Genomic DNA, 21,637 nt, shown 5'->3' with positions numbered 1-21,637 from the left:
AATGAAACCAGGAGCTGGTTTTCTGAAAAGATCAACAAAATTGATAGACCACTAGCAAGACTAATAAAGAAGAAAAGAGAGAAGAATCAAATAAAGGAAATAAAAAATGATAAAGGGGATATCACCACCGATCCCACAGAAATACAAACTACCATCAGAGAATACTACAAACACCTCTAGGCAAATAAACTAGAAAATCTAGAAGAAATGGATAAATTCCTGGACACATACACCCTCCCAAGACTAAACCAGGAAGAAGTTGAATCCCTGAATAGACCAATAACAGGCTCTGAAATTGAGGCAATAATTAATAGCTTACCAACCAAAAAAAGTCCAGGACCAGATGGATTCATAGCCGAATTCCACCAGAGGTACAAGGAGGAGCTGGTACCATTCCTTCTGAAACTATTCCAATCAATAGAAAAAGAGGGAATCCTCCCTAACTCATTTTATGAGGCCAGCATCATCCTGATACCAAAGCCTGGCAGAGACACAATAAAAAAAAAAGAGAGAATTTTAGACCAATATCCCTGATGAACATCAATGCAAAAATCCTCAATAAAATACTGGCAAACCAAATCCAGCAGCACATCAAAAACCTTATCCACCATGATCAAGTGGGCTTCATCCCTGAGATGCAAGGCTGGTTCAACATTCACAAATCAACAAACGTAATCCAGCATATAAACAGAACCAAAGACAAAAACCGCATGATTATCTCAATAGATGCAGAAAAGGCCTTTGACAAAATTCAACAGCCCTTCATGCTAAAAACTCTCAAGAAATTAGGTATTGATTGGACGTATCTCAAAATAATAAGAGCTATCTATGACAAACCCACAGCCAATATCATACTGAATGGGCAAAACCTGGAAGCATTCCCTTTGAAACCTGGCACAAGACAGGGATGCCTTCTCTCACCACTCCTATTCAACATAGTGTTGGAAGTTCTGGCCAGGGCAATCAGGCAGGAGAAAGAAATAAAGGGTATTCAATTAGGAAAAGAGGAAGTCAAATTGTCCCTGTTTGCAGATGACATGATTGTATATTTAGAAAACCCCATCATCTCAGCCCAAAATCTCCTTAAGCTGATAAGCAACTTCAGCAAAGTCTCAGGATATAAAATCAATGTGCAAAAATCACAAGCATTCTTATACACCAATAACAGACAAACAGAGAGTCAAATCATGAGTGAACTCCCATTCACTATTGCTTCAACGAGAATAAAATACCTAGGAATCCAACTTACAAGGGATGTGAAGGACCTCTTCAAGGAGAACTACAAACCACTGCGCAATGAAATAAAAGAGGATACAAACCAATGGAAGAACATTCCATGCTCATGGGTAGGAAGAATCAATATCGTGAAAATGGTCATACTGCCCAAGGTAATTTATACATTCAATGCCATCCCCATCAAGCTATCATGACTTTCTTCACAGAATTGGAAAAAACTACTTTAAAGTTCATATGGAACCAAAAAAGAGCCCACATTGCCAAGACAATCCTAAGCAAAAAGAACAAAGCTGGAGGCATCATGCTACCTGACTTCAAACTATATTACAAGGCTACAGTAACCAAAACAACATGGTACTGGTACCAAAACAGAGATATAGACCAATGGAATAGAACAGAGCCCTCAGAAATAGTACCACACATCTACAACCATCTGATCTTTGACAAAGCTGACAAAAACAAGCAATGGGGAAAGGATTCCATATTTAATAAATGGTGCTGGGAAAACTGGCTAGCCATATGTAGAAAGCTGAAACTGGATCCCTTCCTTACACCTTATACAAAAATTAATTCAAGATGGATTAAAGACTTAAATGTTAGATCTAAAACCATAAAAACCCTAGAAGAAAACCTAGGCAATACCATTCAGGACATGGGCATGGGCAAGGGCTTCATGTCTAAAACACCAAAAGCAATGGCAACAAAAGCCAAAATTGACAAATGGGATCTAATTAAACTCAAGAGCTTCTGCACAGCAAAAGAAACTACTATCAGAGTGAACAGGCAACCTATAGAATGGGAGAAAATTTTTGCAATCTACTCATCTGACAAAGGGCTAATATCCAGAATCTACAATGAACTCAAACAAACTTACAAGAAAAAAACAAACAGCCCCATCAAAAAGTAGGCGAAGGACATGCAAAGACACTTCTCAAAAGAAGACATTTATGCAGCCAAAAGACACATGAAAAAATGCTCATCATCACTGGCCATCAGAGAAATGCAAATCAAAACCACAATGAGATACCATCTCACACCAGTTAGAATGGCGATCATTAAAGTCAGGAAACAGCAGGTGCTGAAGGGGATGTGGAGAAATAGGAACACTTTTACACTGTTGGTGGGACTGTAAGCTAGTTCATCCATTGTGGAAGTCAGTGTGGCGATTCCTCAGGGATCTAGACCTAGAATTATCATTTGACCCAGCCATCCCATTACTGGGTATATAGCCAAAGGATTATAAAACATGCTGCTATAAAGACACATGCACACATATGGTTATTGCGGCACTATTCATAATAGCAAAGACTTGGAACCAACCCAAACGTCCATCAATGATAGACTGGGTTAAGAAAATGTGGCACATATACACCATGGAATACTATGCAGCCATAAAAAATGATGAGTTCATGTCCTTTGTAGGGACATGGATGAAGCTGGAAACCATCATTCTCAGCAAACTATCGCAAGGACAAAAAACCAAACACCGCATGTTCTCACTCATAGGTGGGAATTGAACAATGAGATCACATGGACACAGGAAGGGGAACATCACACACCGGGGCCTGTTGTGGGGTGGGGGGAGGGGGGAGGGATAGCATTAGGAGATATACCTAATGCTAAATGACGAGTTAATGGGTGCAGCACACCAACATGGCACATGTATACATATGTAACAAACCTGCGTATTGTGCACATGTACCCTAAAACTTAAAGTATAATAAAAAAGAGAGAATAAATCCTTGTGCATTAAAAAGAGAGAGAGACAGCTCATATGGAGATGCATTTATATCTCCCCAATTTAGAAATTTTAAATAGAGGTACTTTGCATAAAATGAGTTTTCAATGTGGATTTCATAACACTTGAATGCTAAAGAGCTTTTGCTTTAAAAAAAATCCCACATACATATTGTGATGATTAATTTTATATGTCAATTTGGCTAGGCCATGGTACCCAGATATTTTGTCAAGTATTATTCTAGATGTTTCTGTGAAAGTACTTTTTAGGTGAAATTAACATTTTAATCAGTACATTTTGAGTAAAGTAGATTATCATCCATAGTATGGTTTGGCTTCGTCCAGTCACTTGAAAGCCTTAATAGAAAAAGACTGACTTCCTCAGAAAAGGGAGTTCTACCACCAGACAACCTTCAGGCTCAAAGCACAACATTGACTCTTTCCCAATTCTCTAGCCTGCCGGCCTACCATTCAGGTTTTGGACTTGCCAGCCTCCAAAACTGCATAAGCCAATTTTTAAAAATAAATCTGTTTCTGGCTCTGGCTCTCTCTCTCTCTACACACACACACACACACACACACACACACACACACACACACACACACACACGCAATTAGTTCTGTTTCTCTGGAGAACCTTGACTAACATGTATAACACTTTTTTTTAATTAATGTGATTATGGTGGACTTGAAGTCAGACACATTTGAGTTTTGAATTGGGCCTTTGCCATATTTTTTTACCCTAACTATATTGGACCTCTTCCATTTCCTCATCTGCGAAAATACCAGTAATAATCTGGATCTCTCACAGCTGTTGTGCAGATTAAAAGAATTTGTGCATACTCAGCACAATGCTTAGTACTCAATAATTGCTAAGCATGAGTTATTGTTATTGATAATGTTTCCACTTAAAATGAAAATTGTCTTCCTAAACTTGTTACACAGAAGCAACTTTAGGGACTGCCACATTTATTCCTCCTCTTCATGACTCCTTGAAATGTGTTTTGATCCTAAGACATCCGTCTTGAGTTGCATATTTTTCAAATATTCCTGCAGAATGAAAACTAACAGTTACAACTTACTTGAGCTTCTGTAATTTGCAATTTGGATCTTTTAAGCCTCCATAGAGCAATTTCAAAGCTGAAGCTTCCAGTTTTGTCTCACTAAATTCCAGTTCAGTGAGCCACTGACTGGTGCTAAGAACAGCTGCTAGAGCCCCACAAGAAGCAGAAGAGATAAGGCACCGGTACCACCTTTAGAGAACAGAAGAATGACCTCATTACCACATTCATGCTCTCCCCCAACAGAAATAGAAATTGACCCCCAAAATAAGAATATCAAATAACAAATTATCCTGCTACAATTACCTCAATGTCTGTAAGACACAGTTGGGCTGTTTTAATCCTTCACACAGAAGCTTCATTCCTGAATCTTCGAGGGTATTTTTTACAAATTCGAAATCTGTCAGATGCTGGTTAGTTTCAAATACTGAGGAGAGGTCCCTACCACAAGAAGCTGTGAGGCGACAGAAAATCAGTCTGTGTGGAGAAAAAATACATTTCAGAAACAAACAAAAAAAATAAGAGATATCTTTAGAGGTACTTGTTAGCACCTTGCTGATGTAATAAATTATTTCAATTCATTCAATAATTAATATATTGGGTGCTTACCACTGTGCTAGATGCTGAAAACACAAAGATAATTAAGACACAGACTAAACCCTCCAGGAATCCCCAGTTGATGGAGAAAAATGACGAGAAAATCACAGATTACAATACAGTGTGAAAAGTACCGTCAGACATATGCACAAGTTGTTATGGGGACACAAAAAGGTTGCACAATTCAGCCTAGCTTGAGGTGGGGTCTGGAGAATCAGGAAATACAAGAGGAAGAAATGTTTGAGCACTGTCATGAAAAGGGAATAGAAACTGTATAGGAGTTAGGTGAATGAAAAGAATGGGAGTGGAGAGAGCAGGAGGGGATGAGGAGAAATCCGTGCATGCACAGAGGAGCCTGTGCAAGGGCCACAGAGGAAGAGAGAAGATGCTTCGTTTGAAAAACTAAAAATTACTTGCTATGGCCTATCTAAAAGACTATATAACTATTAAGAGGGATTATCACCCAGGTTGAAGGAAGGGTAGGATTATAGAAGTACTTTCCAAGCACTTAAAAATTATTTACAATGATCAGCTGTTACTGGGAGAAACATTTTTTTTCAATTTTGAAAAACATAACACGTTTATTATAAACAATTTTACAATAGAGAAAAATGTCAAGAATATTTTTTAAAGTACTGTATTCCTATTACCCAAAGATAACCACTGTTAAAGTGTTAGTATATAACTTTCCAGATTTGTGATGTATGCATACATATAGTTAGTTATATGCTCTTTGTAACAAGCGAAATTAGAGAAAAATGTATTTTAAAGTTAAAAACTTTTTTTCTAACCTCCAGTCCAACCCCACTTCCCAGAGATAATTAATGTTGAGTCTGCTATATATCCTCTCTCATTCTGTTCTCCAAGATTATAGAAACATACAAACATATGCAAACACACACATACACACAAATACGGGATCATAGAAAACATTACTCCTACAACTTTACATGCCCTTTTGTCATTGGCCATCATCATAGATCCATAGGTAGAAACAGATTCAGTTACAGTACAATGTCATGTAATACGTAGCAACGCTGGACTCAACCTGAGATTTGTCTGATTTATCTTGTGGGTCTCAGAAAGTCATTCAAGGTTTTCTTGTTTTTGTGTTTGTTTGTTTGAGACAGAGTCTCACTCTGTCACCCAGGCTACAGTGCAGTGGTGCGATCTCGGCTCACTGCAACCTCCGCCTCGTGGGTTCAAGCGATTCTCCTGCCTCAGCCTCCCGAGTAGCTGGGACTACATGCGCGTGCCACCACATCTGGCTAATTTTTTGTAATTTTAGTAGAGACGGGGTTTCACCCTGTTAGCCAGGATGGTCTCGATCTTCTGACCTCGTGATCCGCCCATCTCGGTCTCCCAAAGTACTGGGATTACAGGCATGAGCCACCGCGCCCGGCCGAAGGTTTTAAGAGACATATTCATATCCCTCTGATGGAAGATCTCTGATATTTCATGTTTTGGTAAAAAGGTGTATTTATGCTACTCCTAACTCTCTTTCTCCCACAGTTGCTTCAAGATTCAAGGCGTTTCAGTAGGGGAGGAGTGGGAGAAGGGGTGATGGGAGGAGTGTGGGGAAAGAGGAGCTAAGGGAGGAAAGGCAGGCCAGGATTTGTTAGGGTGTCTGGGATGTTTAGTCCTGAGCAAACAGGGGATAAGCTCCGCTCCTGGCTCCACCCTCTTCCTCCAAGGGCAACTGAGGGGTTGGGGCTGTTTCCTGCTCTAGAATATTCCAGTTGGGGGCGAAACTCCCCTGGCATGGCACAAACCATTATGATGGGGAGGGATAAGTCTTCAACTTGTTCACAAATACTTTTTTTGGTCCTAAGTCCTTCCGGACCACTCCTGTTTCTTTCAGCCTTCAAGGTCTCCCGACCATGTGGCAGGTTCCCTTTTGTCCCAGTGGAATGGCAGAGGCCTTCCTCACTCACTCCCTTTCACCCCTACAGTCTCTGGAAATTGGAACAGTCCCAGAGTAAAATCCTCATGGGTTGGCCCTGAGGCTTCTTTTCCCGCAGAGCCCTAGGAGGGAAAGAGGCCACCCTCTCTTCAGGCGTGTTAAGCAGCGGGGTTGGCCTGTACTTCCTCTGGCCCTGGCTGAAGAGGTGAGGCCTGGTGGGAGATGTCCTAGGGTAGGACAAGCCGGTCAGAGGGTCATTAGGAGGGTCTTGTCAGAGGTGGGAGGGCGGAGAAGACAGATGAGGGGAGGGGCTAAGGAGGAGGAAAGAAACCTATTGGCTGCTCCATCCACACAGGGCTAGTGAAACCGTTAAGCCCCTAGGCGATCATGGCCTTGAGACCTGAGGACCCCAGTAGTGGGTTCCGGCACGGAAACGTGGTGGCCTTCATCATCGAGAAAATGGCCAGGCACACGAAAGGCCCCGAGTTCTACTTCGAGAATATATCCTTATCCTGGGAGGAGGTGGAAGACAAGCTCAGGGCCATCCTGGAGGACAGCGAGGTGCCCAGCGAGGTCAAAGAGGCCTGCACCTGGGGCAGCCTGGCCTTGGGTGTGCGCTTTGCCCACAGGCAGGGGCAGTTACAAAACCGCAGGGTGCAGTGGCTGCAAGGCTTTGCCAAACTGCACAGATCAGCTGCGCTGGTCTTGGCCTCAAACCTGACGGAACTCAAGGAACAGCAGGAGATGGAATGCAATGAGGCGACCTTCCAGTTGCAGCTAACCGAGACCAGCCTTGCGGAGGTGCAGAGAGAGCGGGACATGCTGAGATGGAAGCTCTTCCATGCCGTAAGATCCCCCGAATGGTCCCTGTCCAATGCCTCTGCCCTGCCCCAACCTGTCCGGACCCCCTGCCCTGTCCCCAGAATGTGTTTCAGCTCTGCCTACTTCTCTCCAGGAGCTGGCACCTCCCCAGGGACAGGGCCAGGCTACAGTGTTTCCAGGCCTGGCCACTGCCGGAGGGGATTGGACAGAAGGAGCAGGTGAGCAGGAAAAGGAGGCGGTGGCTGCTGCTGGTGCTGCTGGAGGAAAAGGAGAGGAGAGGTATGCAGAGGCAGGGCCTGCCCCCGCAGAGGTCTTGCAGGGGCTGGGAGGAGGCTTCAGGCAGCCCCTCGGAGCTATTGTAGCAGGCAAATTACACCTTTGCGGGGCAGAGGGAGAAAGATCTCAGGTCAGTACAAACAGCCATGTCTGTCTTCTCTGGGCTTGGGTCCACAGTCTCACTGGAGCCTCTTCCTGTCCAGCTCCCTACCTCATTCACATACTCATACCCATGCCCTTTGTCCGCCTTCTCAGCCATACCCAATATACCCCCTTCACCAGCAAAGGTCACAGAACGGGTTCCAACTCAGATGCCTTTCAACTGGGGGGCCTCTGATGCTAGCCTGTGGTCAGATGTGGAGGCCCAGGGAATAGACCCTCAAGAGCCCCCAAGAGACAGGAGAGACTCCGAACTCCATCAGCAGAGAAGACCTCCAGTATATCGCAGGCCAGGGAACTGGGACTGCCCGTGGTGTAAAGCTGTGAATTTTTCATGGAGGGAAAATTGCTTCCTCTGTGGGAGGCGAATCTGGCTGCAAAAGCCTCAGTAAATTCAGAAATGTAAAATAGAACAGAAATATATCTCAATGGGAAATCAATCTTCAGGGGGAGAGGGGAGAGGTGGGAGGGGGATTGGGTGGAGTGGGGGAAAGGGGATGAGTGGGAAGATTGGACAGTAGGGGGGCGGGGAGGCGGGGTTGTGGGTGGGAGGATGTAGATGACAGGCAGGGAGAGACATGTTTTAATGACTCCATTTGTATTTCAGAGTATTAGTAGTCAACACTCCAGAACTACTGCAGTTTTTATTTGTGTGTGTGTCTCTAGCTCCCTATCTTAAGTATCTGTCGGACCTGGGCAGTATGTAACACCTACACTCTCTCCCTTCATGTAGGCTTTAGATAATTGGAGCAGGAGTGGATATTTGACCAATCCTGAGCCAAATGAATTTTTACGTTAGAAAATCTGAACAGACAGGCAGATTCCACAGTCAGAATAGTGTTGGGCAATGAAGCAGTGGGTCACTTGGAGTTGGGGCCAGGGTCACAGCCATGGACACCAAGGCCATAGCTGAGGCCTGGCCCTGGCTGTGGGGGAACAGAACTGGATGCTTTACAGAGTCAAGTGTCTTTTAGAGGACGCCAGTATGAGGTTTCAGGGAGCAGACAGGCATAGAGGAGTTCATCCTGTGACTACAGAGAGATGGAGAGGGTAGTGATGGCCCAATCACTTTTCACTTCCTGTAGTTGTGCTACAGGAAAATGTACTTTACACAGATCCCCTTTACTTTAAACTAATTTGAGTGAGTTTCTGTTCTGAGCAACCAGATTATTTCCCAGTCAGAAGTTTGTACCAGAAGAGCAATTTTGAACAAAAGACCATTAAAGAAAATGGTGGGACTGGCTGGGGAGTTGCATCAGGGTGTGGTGAGCAGTGGAGATTCCTGAATCCCAAGAGTTTCCATGAATGAACTGGATAGAAGTTCATTCATGCTCTGAGTGAGTTATATCACAAGAAACAATCAAAACAGGCCCAGGATGAACCCCAGGTTCATCCTGACTCAAATCAACAGCAGAGATTTGCCACCCCTAAGGGAATCCCTTAGGCCTACCTACAGAAGACACCAGCACCATGCAGGTGCAGACTGCTATGACTGTATGGCCCCATGACAGGAGAATCCTTTCCAGTCCCCAGTGAGTAGAACCAGGGCAGTCAGATCTGAAAAGAGAACTGCCACTGCCAAGGAGGTGAGTCAGCAACTGATAGTGCTCAGAGGGTTTGCTGGTCTAGACTATGAGCCAAAGCATGGTGCCATCTTGAGAGATTCTCTCCCCCAACCCACCACCATGATAAATGTGGGAGGGAAATCTGGCTACAAAGCTCTCAGTGAATTCAGAAATGTAGAACAGAACAGAAACATATCCCAATGGGAAATCAACTTCCAGAGGGAAGGGGTGAGGTGGAGGAGGATAGGAGTGGGTACGGTAAGGGGGTAGGTGACGGGTTAGTCTGCTTCTCTCCCTCTGATGATTGTAAGTTTTGTTGACGGGGGCTACATGTATGTTTTAGCGCACAGGTGGAAGGATGAGAAGGGGCTACACCTGGACCAGACTGAGACACAACTGAAGGAGCCCTGGATATTGCCCAGGATCTGTGGACCTAGAGACTAAGAAGCTGTCATGGCCCTGGGGCATCTCTGCTGCAGCTAAACTTGATTTTTAGGTTTTCTCCTGTTGGGGATGAACAATAATCAGGATTGAGGGCCAGGTTCCTGGCCTGCAGTTTCAGAAATGTCTTTGGGTTTCTTTCTATATCTCTAGGGCAGGGTTTCTTAGTCTCAGTACTCTTGACATTTGGAGCTGGATAATTCTTTGTTGCAGGGGGCTGTCCAGTACATTGTAGGATGTTTAGCAGAATTCCTAGCCTCTACCCACTAGTTGCCAGAGCATCCACCCCCTCAGAGTCCCAGTTGTAACAACCAAAAATGCCTCCAGATACTCCCACATGTCCACTAGAGGGCAAAATTGTCCCTGGTTGGAAAATGAGGTACTTAGGAGCAGTCAGAACGGCAAGAATTAGGAGAAAAAGGTCAATAAAGCTGAGGGGCCCTCTCAGGAGCTGAAAAGTATCCACTGGGTCTGGCATTTACTTTGGATCTTCCAGCAGATCTAGGGGAGCGGCAAGGGCAGAAGCCAAACTGCGGAAGTGAGGAGTGAGTGAGGATGATGTGGAGTCAGTGAGGGAGGCTCTTCCTCAAGGATTCTTGGTTGTGAAGGGAAGGATTGAAGTGAGATACTCAGTTGAGAGAGGATTTTTTTTCTTTAATTTTCTTTTTTTTCCTGAGACGGAGTCTCGCTCTGCTGCCCATGCTGGAGTGCAGTGGTGCAATCTTGGCTCACTCCAACCTCTGCCTCCCGGGTTCAAGTGATTCTCCTGCCTCAGCTTCCTGAGTAGCTGGGACTACAGGCATGTGCCACCACGCCCGGCTAATTTTTGTAATTTTAGTAGAAACCATGTTAGCCAGGCTGGTCTCAAACTCCTGACCTCAGGCAATCCACCTGCCTCAGCCTCCCAAGTGCTGAGATTACAGGCATGAGCCACCGTGCCCAGCCGGTTCTTTTGAATATGGGAGAAATCTGAGCCATGGAGAAGGAGATAGCTGAAGAAAGCTTGAAAATGCAAAACACTTGTGAAAGAATGTGGTAGATTTTGCATACTGTATTGGAGGCATGGCCCCTGTATTGTTAAATGAAGAAAAAATCATATGACAAGGTTGCTTTTGTTTTTGTAAAACAAAACTCCCCAAAGTTCTGTGAGTGTGTATATGAATGTTACAAATTTATGTATTTATGTTTGTCTTACGTTACAGTTTTATGTTTGTGTAAGCATAGAAAATGGTCTGGAAATATATTTAGCAAACAAGGTACCTGGGGTGGGGGTGGGCTCAGGGTCAGGGGATAGGAGGCAGCAGGGTATGGGGATATAGGGTGGGATGGGGTATGGGACAGCTGGGTGGAGGGCTTTTCTTTCTTTATATACCTCTGTGTTATGAAAGTAAAATAATTATTCACAAAAATACAAAAATAATGAAGTGAATTTACTGGCTTGGGTGGCTTGCAAGGGCTGCCTTTTCCTCTGGAACAGGAGGAAAGAAGAAGAGCAGACATTGATCTATAAGGCAAAGGGGTGTGAAAACAAGGGGGCACCTGCTTGTGTGTTTGTGTTGTGGACAAAGTGCTTGGAAGTAAGTGAAGATGGAAAGGCAGGGCAGGGGTGGGATCCTCTTTGGGTACTTTGGGGAATAACTACGGGGTAAAGGTGGGGAATGGAAGGAGAGAAAAGGATCGTCAAGCTGCATGGAGTAGGATAAGACCCAACTGAAAGAAAACTAAGGGGGAGAGCAGTGGCAGTCTGGGAGGAAAAGAAAGTTGGGGTGGCAGATCCAAGTGGGGCAGCACACCCAAATTTCTCTCTCAGGTGTTACAACCGTCCACTTACTCATTACAGCAAAACAGTACATACAAAAGGGGAAAAGGCAGGACGGGCGGGTAGAGTTCTGGGCCTGACTCCTTCCTGCCCCTTCTAGGCCTGTAGCATATCTCTTCATTTGTTGCTCCACTGTGGCGAAGCTGAAAACTAGCTATATTTTATTTTCAGGTCAATCAGCTGGGAGTGCAATTTCTAGAAACCTAATCTTTACCTGCAAATACCTAAGAGTTTAAAGCAAAGTTCGACTTACTTCAGGTCTTTGATTTTACAGTATGGAGTACGCAGTGCTTGGCAGAGCAGGTGTAGCTGACACACTGGCAAACTGCGCAGCTGAAAGGACCTAAAAGAGATGAGGAAATAAAAAGTAATTTAAAATAAAACTTAAGTAAAAGGCTTATTTGGCTTTTGTTACCTTGCTAGTAGCACTAATTTACCCCTTCCCAAAACCTTGAGACGTATTATCCCATTTTGCAGATAAGGAAATTAGGGCACAAAAAGTAATCTGCTCAAGGTCACATAGGTAGGTACAGAACTGAGGTCATTACTCAGGTCTGAGTCCAAAACCATGTTACTATGTGCCAGGCACTGAGGTAAGCACTTTATTTTCACAAATTATCTTATCTGGCCCTTAATCCAATAACAAGTATTATAATCACCATTTTCCACATGCTCTGAGTCGTCAAGTGACTTGCCCAAGCTAACTTTACAATATAACTGGTTCTTGGTTGTCGGTACTAATAGAAGAATTCATAACAATAATTAAAAACCAGGAAAGCTCAATAGTAAACTCTTACATAGCCAATACGCTTGGGAAAGAAGAATGTTGGGTTAAATTTTTGATAAGAGTTTAAGCCCTCTGATAAAGGCAATAAGGGTTATAGGGGAGGACGCCATCTAAGGTTGACTTTCTGGAAACCCAGAATGAACCAGAAGACCCTTTGTTTCCATCAGTGTTTCAACTTTAAATGTATTGGTCCATTATTTTACTTTATAATATACAACTGGAATAAGGCTGTATATTATATACATATACAGAATTGGTCAAGACCTTGTAGACAAGGTCTTTCATAATTCTGAGTCCGTTAAACCTCTCTTAAACTAGAGAGGGAAGGAACTAGAGGTCCTTCCCTCTCTAGTTCCAAACACAAATTCTTGTTAATGCCTCCCTCCCTCTCATTTCCCTCAAACACACATACCCCATGCTCATTTCCACCTTTATGCTATTCCCCACACAAGAAATACAACTATAAGGGACACAACTTGAGTTATTTCATTCCTCAAGTGGAGCTTTCTGCTGACCCCTCTCCTCCCAGTCCCCTGCCCCTCAACTGGCCTGAAAACTAAGGGAGAGGCATTATCAATCTTAACCCAGATATTGAGAACAGACTTACAGCATTTTCTAGATAACACAGGTATAAGTCTTCTTTGCTGCTTTAGTCAGTAAGCCAGTAGGACTGTATTTTATGGTATACAGAGTCCATATTATAAAAGTAACTTACCTAAGCCTCTTTCAACTTCAGCTCATGACCTTCTGTGAAGTTGCAAGCTCTGATGGAAATAACCAGGATTTATAGCAAGATAATACAAGAGTGTACCTCTGCCCCTTACTAACCTGAAGTTCCTTGAGGCCTCAGTGATGAAGTATATTTAGAGGAGAGTGACAACCAATCAAATGTTACGTTTATACCTTTTTCCAGAATGGTCATTACACCAAAATAGCAGAGTCTTCAACTTGATGACCTTACATGCTCATAACACTTTAGAATTACAAACCACATCCACACAGTGACAATGAATACTAATACACACACACACACACACACACACACACACACACACACTGACTACTACAGTGCCTGTTGTCTGGGAAGGATAAAAACTGGAGGAAAGACATGGATATACGCACTGATTAAGTGTTAAGGCTGGTGGCACGAATGTTGAGGCTCACTCTTCCTCCTCAAATCCAAGTAGGTGCTGACACTTCAGAGACACTGACAGGTGACTGTGACTGCTTTTTACACAGAAGGACATAACCAGAATGTCCATTTTTGTATAGGTAGGTTGAAGCAGTATAATTGACTGTAAATCATCAATTATCCTTTTTGCATATTCTTCTTCCTGAATCTCATACAAACAGTGAAACAGGTCCACCGGCTCAATCTGTAACCTAGAAGACTTATCCTTTATTTCTCTCTCAGTCCACTTCAGTAACTCCTCTTGAAGTCCTGGGGAAACTTTTCTTCCAAAAGTAGTTTCCACAGCCTTTCCTTTTCCTTTATGTAAGAGGCCAAATAAGAATTATATCATTAGTGATGAAAAACCTTTTCCATATTGTTGGAACATTTCTTGCCACATTTTCTCTGCTTGATAAAAAAACATCCAGCTATTGTCATTCTTCAGGGCATGGAAGACAGCAGTCAAGAACTCTTGGAAACTGAAGTGAAGGAAAGTGTAGACACTGACAGCTCCTTCAGCCTTTTTCAAAAAGCGACTGAGAAAAGTGCAGTTGGTATCACACACTCCTATCCCATGTCTTCTGAGGTCACTGACTGCAAACAAAACCTGATGATTTTGCAGACCCTCTGCAGCCAAACGGCAAAGACCCCACAGGCAACTTTGTCCCTCCCATACTGAGATACCTGTAAGGGTTTTGAGGCACTTGGAAAAGTAGAATAAATACACATCAGTCATGGTCTGAAGTGACCTCAAGAGAGTCCTGTCACCATCTCCCTGTGACTGCAGGACATTGCATATCATCCAGGAGACGATGGGAAGTGAAGACATAATGTCAAGGTCTTCATTCTCTCAAAGATCATAAAAGACTTTCATTGTTGTATTAGCACCTGAAAACTGGCTCAATAAATATGCTCTCTTTTCGGTATCTGTAAACCATAATATCTCTGCCTGGATAGGTTGTTTTAACAGAGAGTGGAGCTTCTTCATGGCTGTAGGCCGGGCAGTTATCAGGAGGGAGGATTCGGGGAACAGTTTTTTCCTCACAAAACTGCACAAGAGACTCTCTACTGGCCTCCTCTCCTGGGGGTGAACACTAAGATCCTCTTCTTGGTCACCAACAGGGTCCTGCAGCTCAGGAAATCTGTCGAGAATGAGCAGAATCTTTGGATATATGAGAATAGTGTCCAAGATTGGTCCATTTATATTTTGAAAAGTGTTAGTATAAGGTCAGCAGAACTAAGGTTAGCAATATGGCTGATTTCAATGCAGTTGACGTAGATGAGATAGTCACACCTGCCTGGAGTAACCGTTCCTGCTGCCCAGTCAAACATGAACTTGTGCACCACAGCTGTTTTTCCAGTCCCAGCACATGCCTGAAGCACCACAGTTCGGGGTGAGCTGGAGCCCTCTTCATTAGAATCAAATACATGTTCCATGTCAATAAAATGATCTTGTTGAGGAATTCCATATGGTGTCTCTTCTGATATACCATGGTCTTTTACAAGAAGCAGTCGTGACTCTATATGCTTGCCATGCTGATAACATTTATCAACTCCTATCTTTAGGTATTTTTCTTTTAGATGTTTTCTGAATACTTCCTGGTAATCTAACATGGTGACAGCAAGAGTTAGTAATTATAGAATCCTAGACAACAACTCTAACTAGTACCTCCATCACCACCATCTCCACTTAGATGTCTCAAAGGATCCTCAACTTTACATGTCTAAACCCGAGTTCTTGATTTTTATACTCTTCTGTCCCCGCCAAAAAACCCTCCCCAGGCATCTCATCTCAGTTAAGTGGTGCTATCCAGTTGCTCAGAAAAATGTTATGAGTATTTTTCCTTCAATCCTCTACATCCAATCAATTAGCAAGGCCTAACATTTATATTTTCAAAATAAGCCTCAAATCCATTTATTTACCAATATATCCTCAAATACCTCCCAAGTCCAGGGCACTGTCACCTCTTTCCTAGACTGGCCAAATAGCATCCTACTAATCTATTCTTGCCCATCTACTGGTTCCTTCCTATGCAGCAGCCAAAACAGTCTTCTACAGATACCAATTAGATCATGTCACTTCCCTGCCCAAAATCCTTCAAGAGCTTTTCATTGTTCTTGCTATAAAATCCAAAATCCTCATCCTACAAGGTGTTCTCATGATCTGGGCCTTCTCTACCTCCCCTCCCTAGCCTCATTTTTTATCATTCTCCTTTTCGCTCTCTACGTTAGAGCCACACTGGCCTACTTTCAGTTCTCAAAAATGCCATGTTCTCTCCTACTTCAGAGACTTTGCGCTAGCTAATCTTTCCACCTGGAACATTCTTCCTCCTGCTCTTCCCATGAAAAGCTCTTTTTCATCCTTCTGATCTCAAATATTACTTCCTAGAATTCCTAGGATTGCTTCCTAGAATTCCTAGGATTTGTTTGACCACCCAATTTAAAGGAGATCCTCTCTACTATTTCCCTTCGCAGCACCATATATATATATATATTTTTTGAGATGGAGTCTTGCTCTGCTGCCCAGGCTGGAGTGCAGTGGTGCGATCTTGGCTCACTGCAAGCTCCACCTCCCAGGTTCACGCCATTCTCCTGCCTCAGCCTCCCAAGTAGCTAGGACTACAGGCGCCCGCTACCACGCCTGGCTAATTTTTTTTCTATTTTTAGTAGAGACATGGTTTCACCGCCAGCACCATATTTTTACCTTTATAGCTCTTATCGCAATTTATAACTGTCTTGTTCATTTACTTTTTCACTGTCTTTTCTACTATACAATAATACACATGAAGACAGGGGCCTTATCTGTCTATCTCCTTTACAATAAGTACCCTGAGTACCTGGCACTGAGCCCAGCACATAACACACACTCAATAAATATTTATTGAATATGGCTATAAATGCTTTTGGATTACAAACAAGTTATTTATTATTGCCTATTCTGTGACAGATACTGTTAGGACCTTTATGTACATTTCTGATTTAATTCTCACAATAATCCCATGAAGTAGGTATTACCTACATTTGATAGTTGAGGAAATAGAAACTTATAATCAGGGCCACCTTCATGAGTGTGCAGTCTGTGCAGTCACACAGGTCTCCATGCTCAGAAGGATGTATACTTGGTTTAATGCTCTGCTATTGCTGTCTTGAAATTCTTAATACTTGACAAAGAGGTTTTGCATTTTCATTTTGTACTGTATCCCACAAATTATGTAGCCAGTGCTGCTTTACATAGCTTTAGGTAATTTGTCCAATGCTAGTAAGTGACATCAAGTACAAACTTACGTTAAGTGAATGTCTATGCCAGTATTTCCCAAATCAGGGTTCCCTGGAAAACTGTCTGCAAGACATTAATAAGTTGAGGGGAGTGCACCCTGTAGTCTCTTAGAGTTTCTCAATGCTTATTAGCATATGAAAGGCTCTTGTACTAGCATATGAAACATTCTTTAACTCTCCTACAGTTGAAAAAGGCTGTTTAACTGTGTTTAACCCAAAGTTTTCTGGTCTTAAATGACTACAGAACCCTTTTCTAACAGCAAAGTTACTAATTATTGCATAACTGTTCCTAGAACTCAGTTTGGGGAACGCTAATAGAGATAACGGTTGGCAAACATTTTCTGTAAAATTTCTTAAATAGTTTAGGCTTTTCGGTCTCTGTTGCAATTGCTCAACTCTGCCATCTTACTGTGAAAGTAGCCATAGATAATATGTAAACAAATAGCTGTATTCCAATAAAGCTTTATTTACAAAAATAGGCAACTGGTTGGGTTTGACTCACTAGCTATAGTTTGCTGGCCCTGATCTAGATAATTCCAGAAGAGGACTGGCCTTTTCTCAGAATAAAATTTTCTACATCTAGCTCTTGACCACCACCACCAGTGGTCCTCCCAGTATTCGAATAGGTATTTGAATATATTCTATATGATATAGAAGCCCTATTTGTCGTGACAGTTTGGGGCTTTATAGTTGCCAAAAAAGCAATGATTGTTGCCCCAGTGAATAAGAGGGAAAAATTAGAGAGGAGCAGGGCGGGGTAGGGATGGGTAGTTGGGTTCTTGGAAAATACTATTCTCAAAACAGAAAAAGAGAGTAAAATAGAAAAGACATCTACCTGTAAGCTCTTTACATGAAAACGAAGCCAGAGAATTTGAAGCAACTGTGGAAGAAAGAGTTAAAGTTAGGAGTAGCACAAATACACCTTTATACCAAAACCTGAAATGCACAGAAATTTTGCCACACTGTAACAGCCATTCATGCTGCTCCCCAAACAGAAATACAACAAAGGAAGTAAATCATCTCACATCTTTTCTAACTTACTCACAAAGGTATTTTATAGCTAATACGCAACATAAAATAAAACATAAGAATTTCCCAGCTGGGCACAGTGGCTCACACCTGTAATCCCAGCGCTTTGGGAGTCTAAGGTGGGAGGATCACTTGAGCCCAGGAGTTTGAGACCAGCCTGGGCAACATAGGGAGGTCTTGTCTCTACGGAAAGTAAAAAAATAGCCAAGTATAGTGGTGTGCACTTGTGTTCCCAGATACTTGGGAGGCTGAGCCAGGAGGATCACTTGAGTCTGGGAGGTCAAGGCTGTAGTGAACTGTGATTGCATGACTGCACTCTAGCCTGACTGACAGAGTGAGATCCTATCTCTTAAAAAAAAGAATTTCCCTTATGCATATATTTAGCTGTGGATATTTTAATTTATATCATCAATAAGGAAAATTTTAGGCATGAGCTTAAAGATTCATACATTATTTGAAGTGATTGTTTTCTGCTATTTTCTTTCCACTGAATATTACCCTCTTGCTTCTGTTGTGGCTTCCGTTGAGCCTAACTTGCTAATGGGAAAGAACAGGGCTTTGCTGAATATTAATTTGATAGATATATAAGATATATATGATGATCTACATTCAAATACATATTTTACACACACTCAATCCAGATACTTTACATATAGATATATAAATAAGAATACACAAGCACACACACAACTCCACATTCCTATAATTGTTTACTTCTTGCACACTTTTAAAAGCAAGAGTAAGATTAGAGTGGAGAAGAAGTTGTGACTAGATGGGTGCTAACAGGTGAATGGGAAGAAGCAGGGTGTGGACGGGCAGACATTAGACTGTCACAGAAATGAGCAGGCAAGTGAGTGGTCTGTTGAGAATAACTGGTTTCTGTTCCCCACAACTAAACATTCCTTGGATTTCAGGAATCAGCCACAAGAGGCAGGACTCCAGCAATCTTCACTCTTTGTTCTTCTGTGCTGTCTCCTGTGAAAAGCTCTGGTTACATTAAAGGAAGAGACTTGGAGTCTTTTATAATTGTAAATGTTTGGGGGATTATGGAAAACAACAGAAACCACAGTTGCCTCTTCTCCGTCTTTATCCTTATTTTAGGCAACATAAAAATTGTGGAGACAGTTTCAAGAGATTAATGGGTAAATACTGTATCCAAGTAATTCACATCTAACAACATTTTAAAGTTTCAGAAGAATCTCCAAGGGTATGAGGAAAAGAAACAGGAGAAAGAGAATGAATAGACTTACCTAGTATATACCATTTCTTATTTCATTCAGTTACTCACCATTCTCTCCAGACAATAAACTCCAGGTACAAGCAAGTTCCATATATTTTCTTTTCTTCTGATTGTTCATCCTGGCAAATCAAGAAGACTGTAATCCAGAACAGCAACGGTGACTATAAGGCCTAGTGGATGCTCAGAGTAAAAAAGTAACTCAAGAAATACTCTTCATTCAAGGCATTAGAGAGCTGGAGAAAAGAGAAGGCCCAATAACCAAGCAGACAGCTGAGGTAGCACCCTGGGGAATCACATGAAGACAGACCAAAACTAACAGTCTTCAACTTGAAGAGAAAAAAAAGCTGAAAGAGGATAGAATGTGTATAAAGTTTTGAAGGGTACAAATATGGAGAATGTCAAATTGGGCTCTGAATTGAGTCACTAAGAGAAGTATAGGAATTAGGTAGCATACTTCTAATGTCTGAGATCAAGAGAAGTAAGAATGATGATGTCCTTCCACAACATATTTTTGGTGCCATCAATAAAGGGAGAATTCTAAGACTACAGATTGGAATACTGTGGTATAAGAGAAATAATCTAAAGAATCAGAAGACCTGGGTCCTAGCTCCATTTCTATCCATCCATGGACCTCGAATAAGATTCTTCTCCTTTCTGGGAGAACGGTCTGCTTTACTATTTTCAAAATGGTTCAAGGAACGTTAGACCAGGTTTCTTTCCAGGTTTGACACTGTAAGATCAGTAGTTCTCAGTCTTAGCTACACATTAGAATCTTGAAATATTACTTATCACCTTCTAATATATTTGATAATTTACTTATGTATTAGGCTTATTGTTCTTTGTTAGTCTTTCCCACCTAAATTGAATTACTGGCCCCTTTCTCAACCTTTGTCATGAACTTTGCAAATCCGCACACAAAAAACTGGAGCTTATTTTCCTACCTCCTGTCTTTGAGCTCATTCATGAGACTTTGGTTAATGGAGTGAAACCAGAGTTGGACATGTCATCTCTTATGATTCATGAAAGAAGCCACAGAGAAACGAGACCCAGCTAGTTCACTGGTCTAAGGAGGATGAGAAATACATGAAGCAGAGCCACCATAGCTTACCCACAGTACTGCGGCAAGGAAAGTACAGTGACCCCAGCCTGAATAAAGTTACCCAACAGAGCCCTCTTTAATCATCTGAGTCCCAGCTGGCCTCCAGATCTGTGAAGATAAATTCTTAATAAGTGATTAATTTTTCATGCCACGGAAATTTCGTGGTTATTGTTACACATCACTGTGGCAATAGCTAACTGATACATCCTGCTAGAATGTAAATGCCTAGAAAGTGTTTGGCACAGAGTAGACATTCACTAAATATTTATCAAATAAATTGAATGAGTGAATAGCTTTTTAAAAAAACCCAATGACACTGACTTCCACAATGGTTGAACTAGTTTACAGTCCCACCAACAGTGTAAAAGTGTTCCTATTTCTCCACATCCTCTCCAGCACCTGTTGTTTCCTGACTTTTTAATGATTGCCATTCTAACTGGTGTGAGATGATATCTCATTGTGGTTTTGATTTGCATTTCTCTGATGGCCAGTGATGGTGAGCATTTTTTCATGTGTTTTTTGGCTGCATAAATGTCTTCTTTTGAGAAGTGTCTGTTCATGTCCTTCGCCCACTTTTTGATGGGGTTGTTTGTTTTTTTCTTGTAAATTTGTTTGAGTTCATTGTAGATTCTGGGTATTAGCCCTTTGTCAGATGAGTAGATTGCAAAAATTTTCTCCCATTTTGTGGGTTGCCTGTTCACTCTGATGGTAGTTTCTTTTGCTGTGCAGAAGCTCTTTAGTTTAATTAGATCCCATTTGTCAATTTTGGCTTTCGTTGCCATTGCTTTTGGTGTTTTAGACATGAAGTCTTTGCCCGTGCCTATGTCCTGAATGGTAATTCCTAGGTTTTCTTCTAGGGTTTTTATGGTTTTAGGTCTAACATGTAAGTCTTTAATCCATCTTGAATTTATTTTTGTACAAGGTGTAAGGAAGGGATCCAGTTTCAGCTTTCTACATATGGCTAGCCAGTTTTCCCAGCACCATTTATTAAATATGGAATCCTTTCCCCATTGCTTGTTTTTCTCAGGTTTGTCAAAGGTCAGATAGTTGTAGATATGTGGCGTTATTTCTGAGGGCTCTGTTCTGTTCCATTGATCTATCTCTCTGTTTTGGTACCAGTACCATGCTGTTTTGGTTACTGTAGCCTTGTAGTATAGTTTGAAGTCAGGTAGCGTGATGCCTCCAGCTTTGTTCTTTTGGCTTAGGATTGACTTGGCGATGCGGGCTCTTTTTTGGTTCCATATGAACTTTAAAGTAGTTTTTTCCAATTCTGTGAAGAAAGTCATTGGTAGCTTGATGGGGATGGCATTGGATCTATAAATTACCTTGGGCAGTATGGCCATTTTCACGATATTGATTCTTCCTACCCATGAGCATGGAATGTTCTTCCATTTGTTTGTATCCTCTTTTATTTCATTG

General features: G+C 42.1%; 1 protein-coding gene and 2 pseudogenes across 2 annotated transcripts; 2 read left to right on the top strand and 1 right to left on the bottom strand.

Moving 5' to 3' along the window:
• LOC112267910 (NACHT, LRR and PYD domains-containing protein 10-like) lies at window positions 2,520–21,097 on the bottom strand (annotated as a pseudogene). The gene is made up of 6 exons (NR_171572.1): window positions 19,168–21,097; window positions 17,686–17,730; window positions 13,526–15,181; window positions 11,870–11,959; window positions 4,341–4,511; window positions 2,520–4,023 (listed from the first exon to the last, which is right to left on the bottom strand). The product of NR_171572.1 is annotated as an NACHT, LRR and PYD domains-containing protein 10-like (transcript).
• NLRP3P1 (NLR family pyrin domain containing 3 pseudogene 1) lies at window positions 4,058–15,155 on the top strand (annotated as a pseudogene).
• Window positions 6,679–8,185, top strand: TEX13B (testis expressed 13B). Its single transcript, NM_031273.2, has 3 exons — window positions 6,679–6,739; window positions 6,890–7,380; window positions 7,490–8,185. Exons 2-3 carry the CDS (start codon window positions 6,922–6,924, stop codon window positions 7,967–7,969), a joined length of 939 nt encoding a protein of 312 aa, NP_112563.1. The 5' UTR covers window positions 6,679–6,739; window positions 6,890–6,921; the 3' UTR covers window positions 7,970–8,185.
• Window positions 21,098–21,637: the final 540 nt, after the last annotated feature.

This window comes from Homo sapiens, chromosome X (genome assembly GCF_000001405.40).
Source record: "Homo sapiens chromosome X, GRCh38.p14 Primary Assembly".
Taxonomy (NCBI): Eukaryota; Metazoa; Chordata; class Mammalia; order Primates; family Hominidae; genus Homo; species Homo sapiens.
This window is presented reverse-complemented; position numbering and strand designations above follow the sequence as displayed.

Bases quoted from the DNA above. Each gene is read 5' to 3' on its own strand.
- TEX13B (NM_031273.2), top strand. From the start codon at position 6,922: ATGGCCTTGAGACCTGAGGACCCCAGTAGTGGGTTCCGGCACGGAAAC. The intron at 7,381-7,489 runs GTAAGATCCCCC...ACTTCTCTCCAG, and splicing joins GATGGAAGCTCTTCCATGCC to GAGCTGGCACCTCCCCAGGG.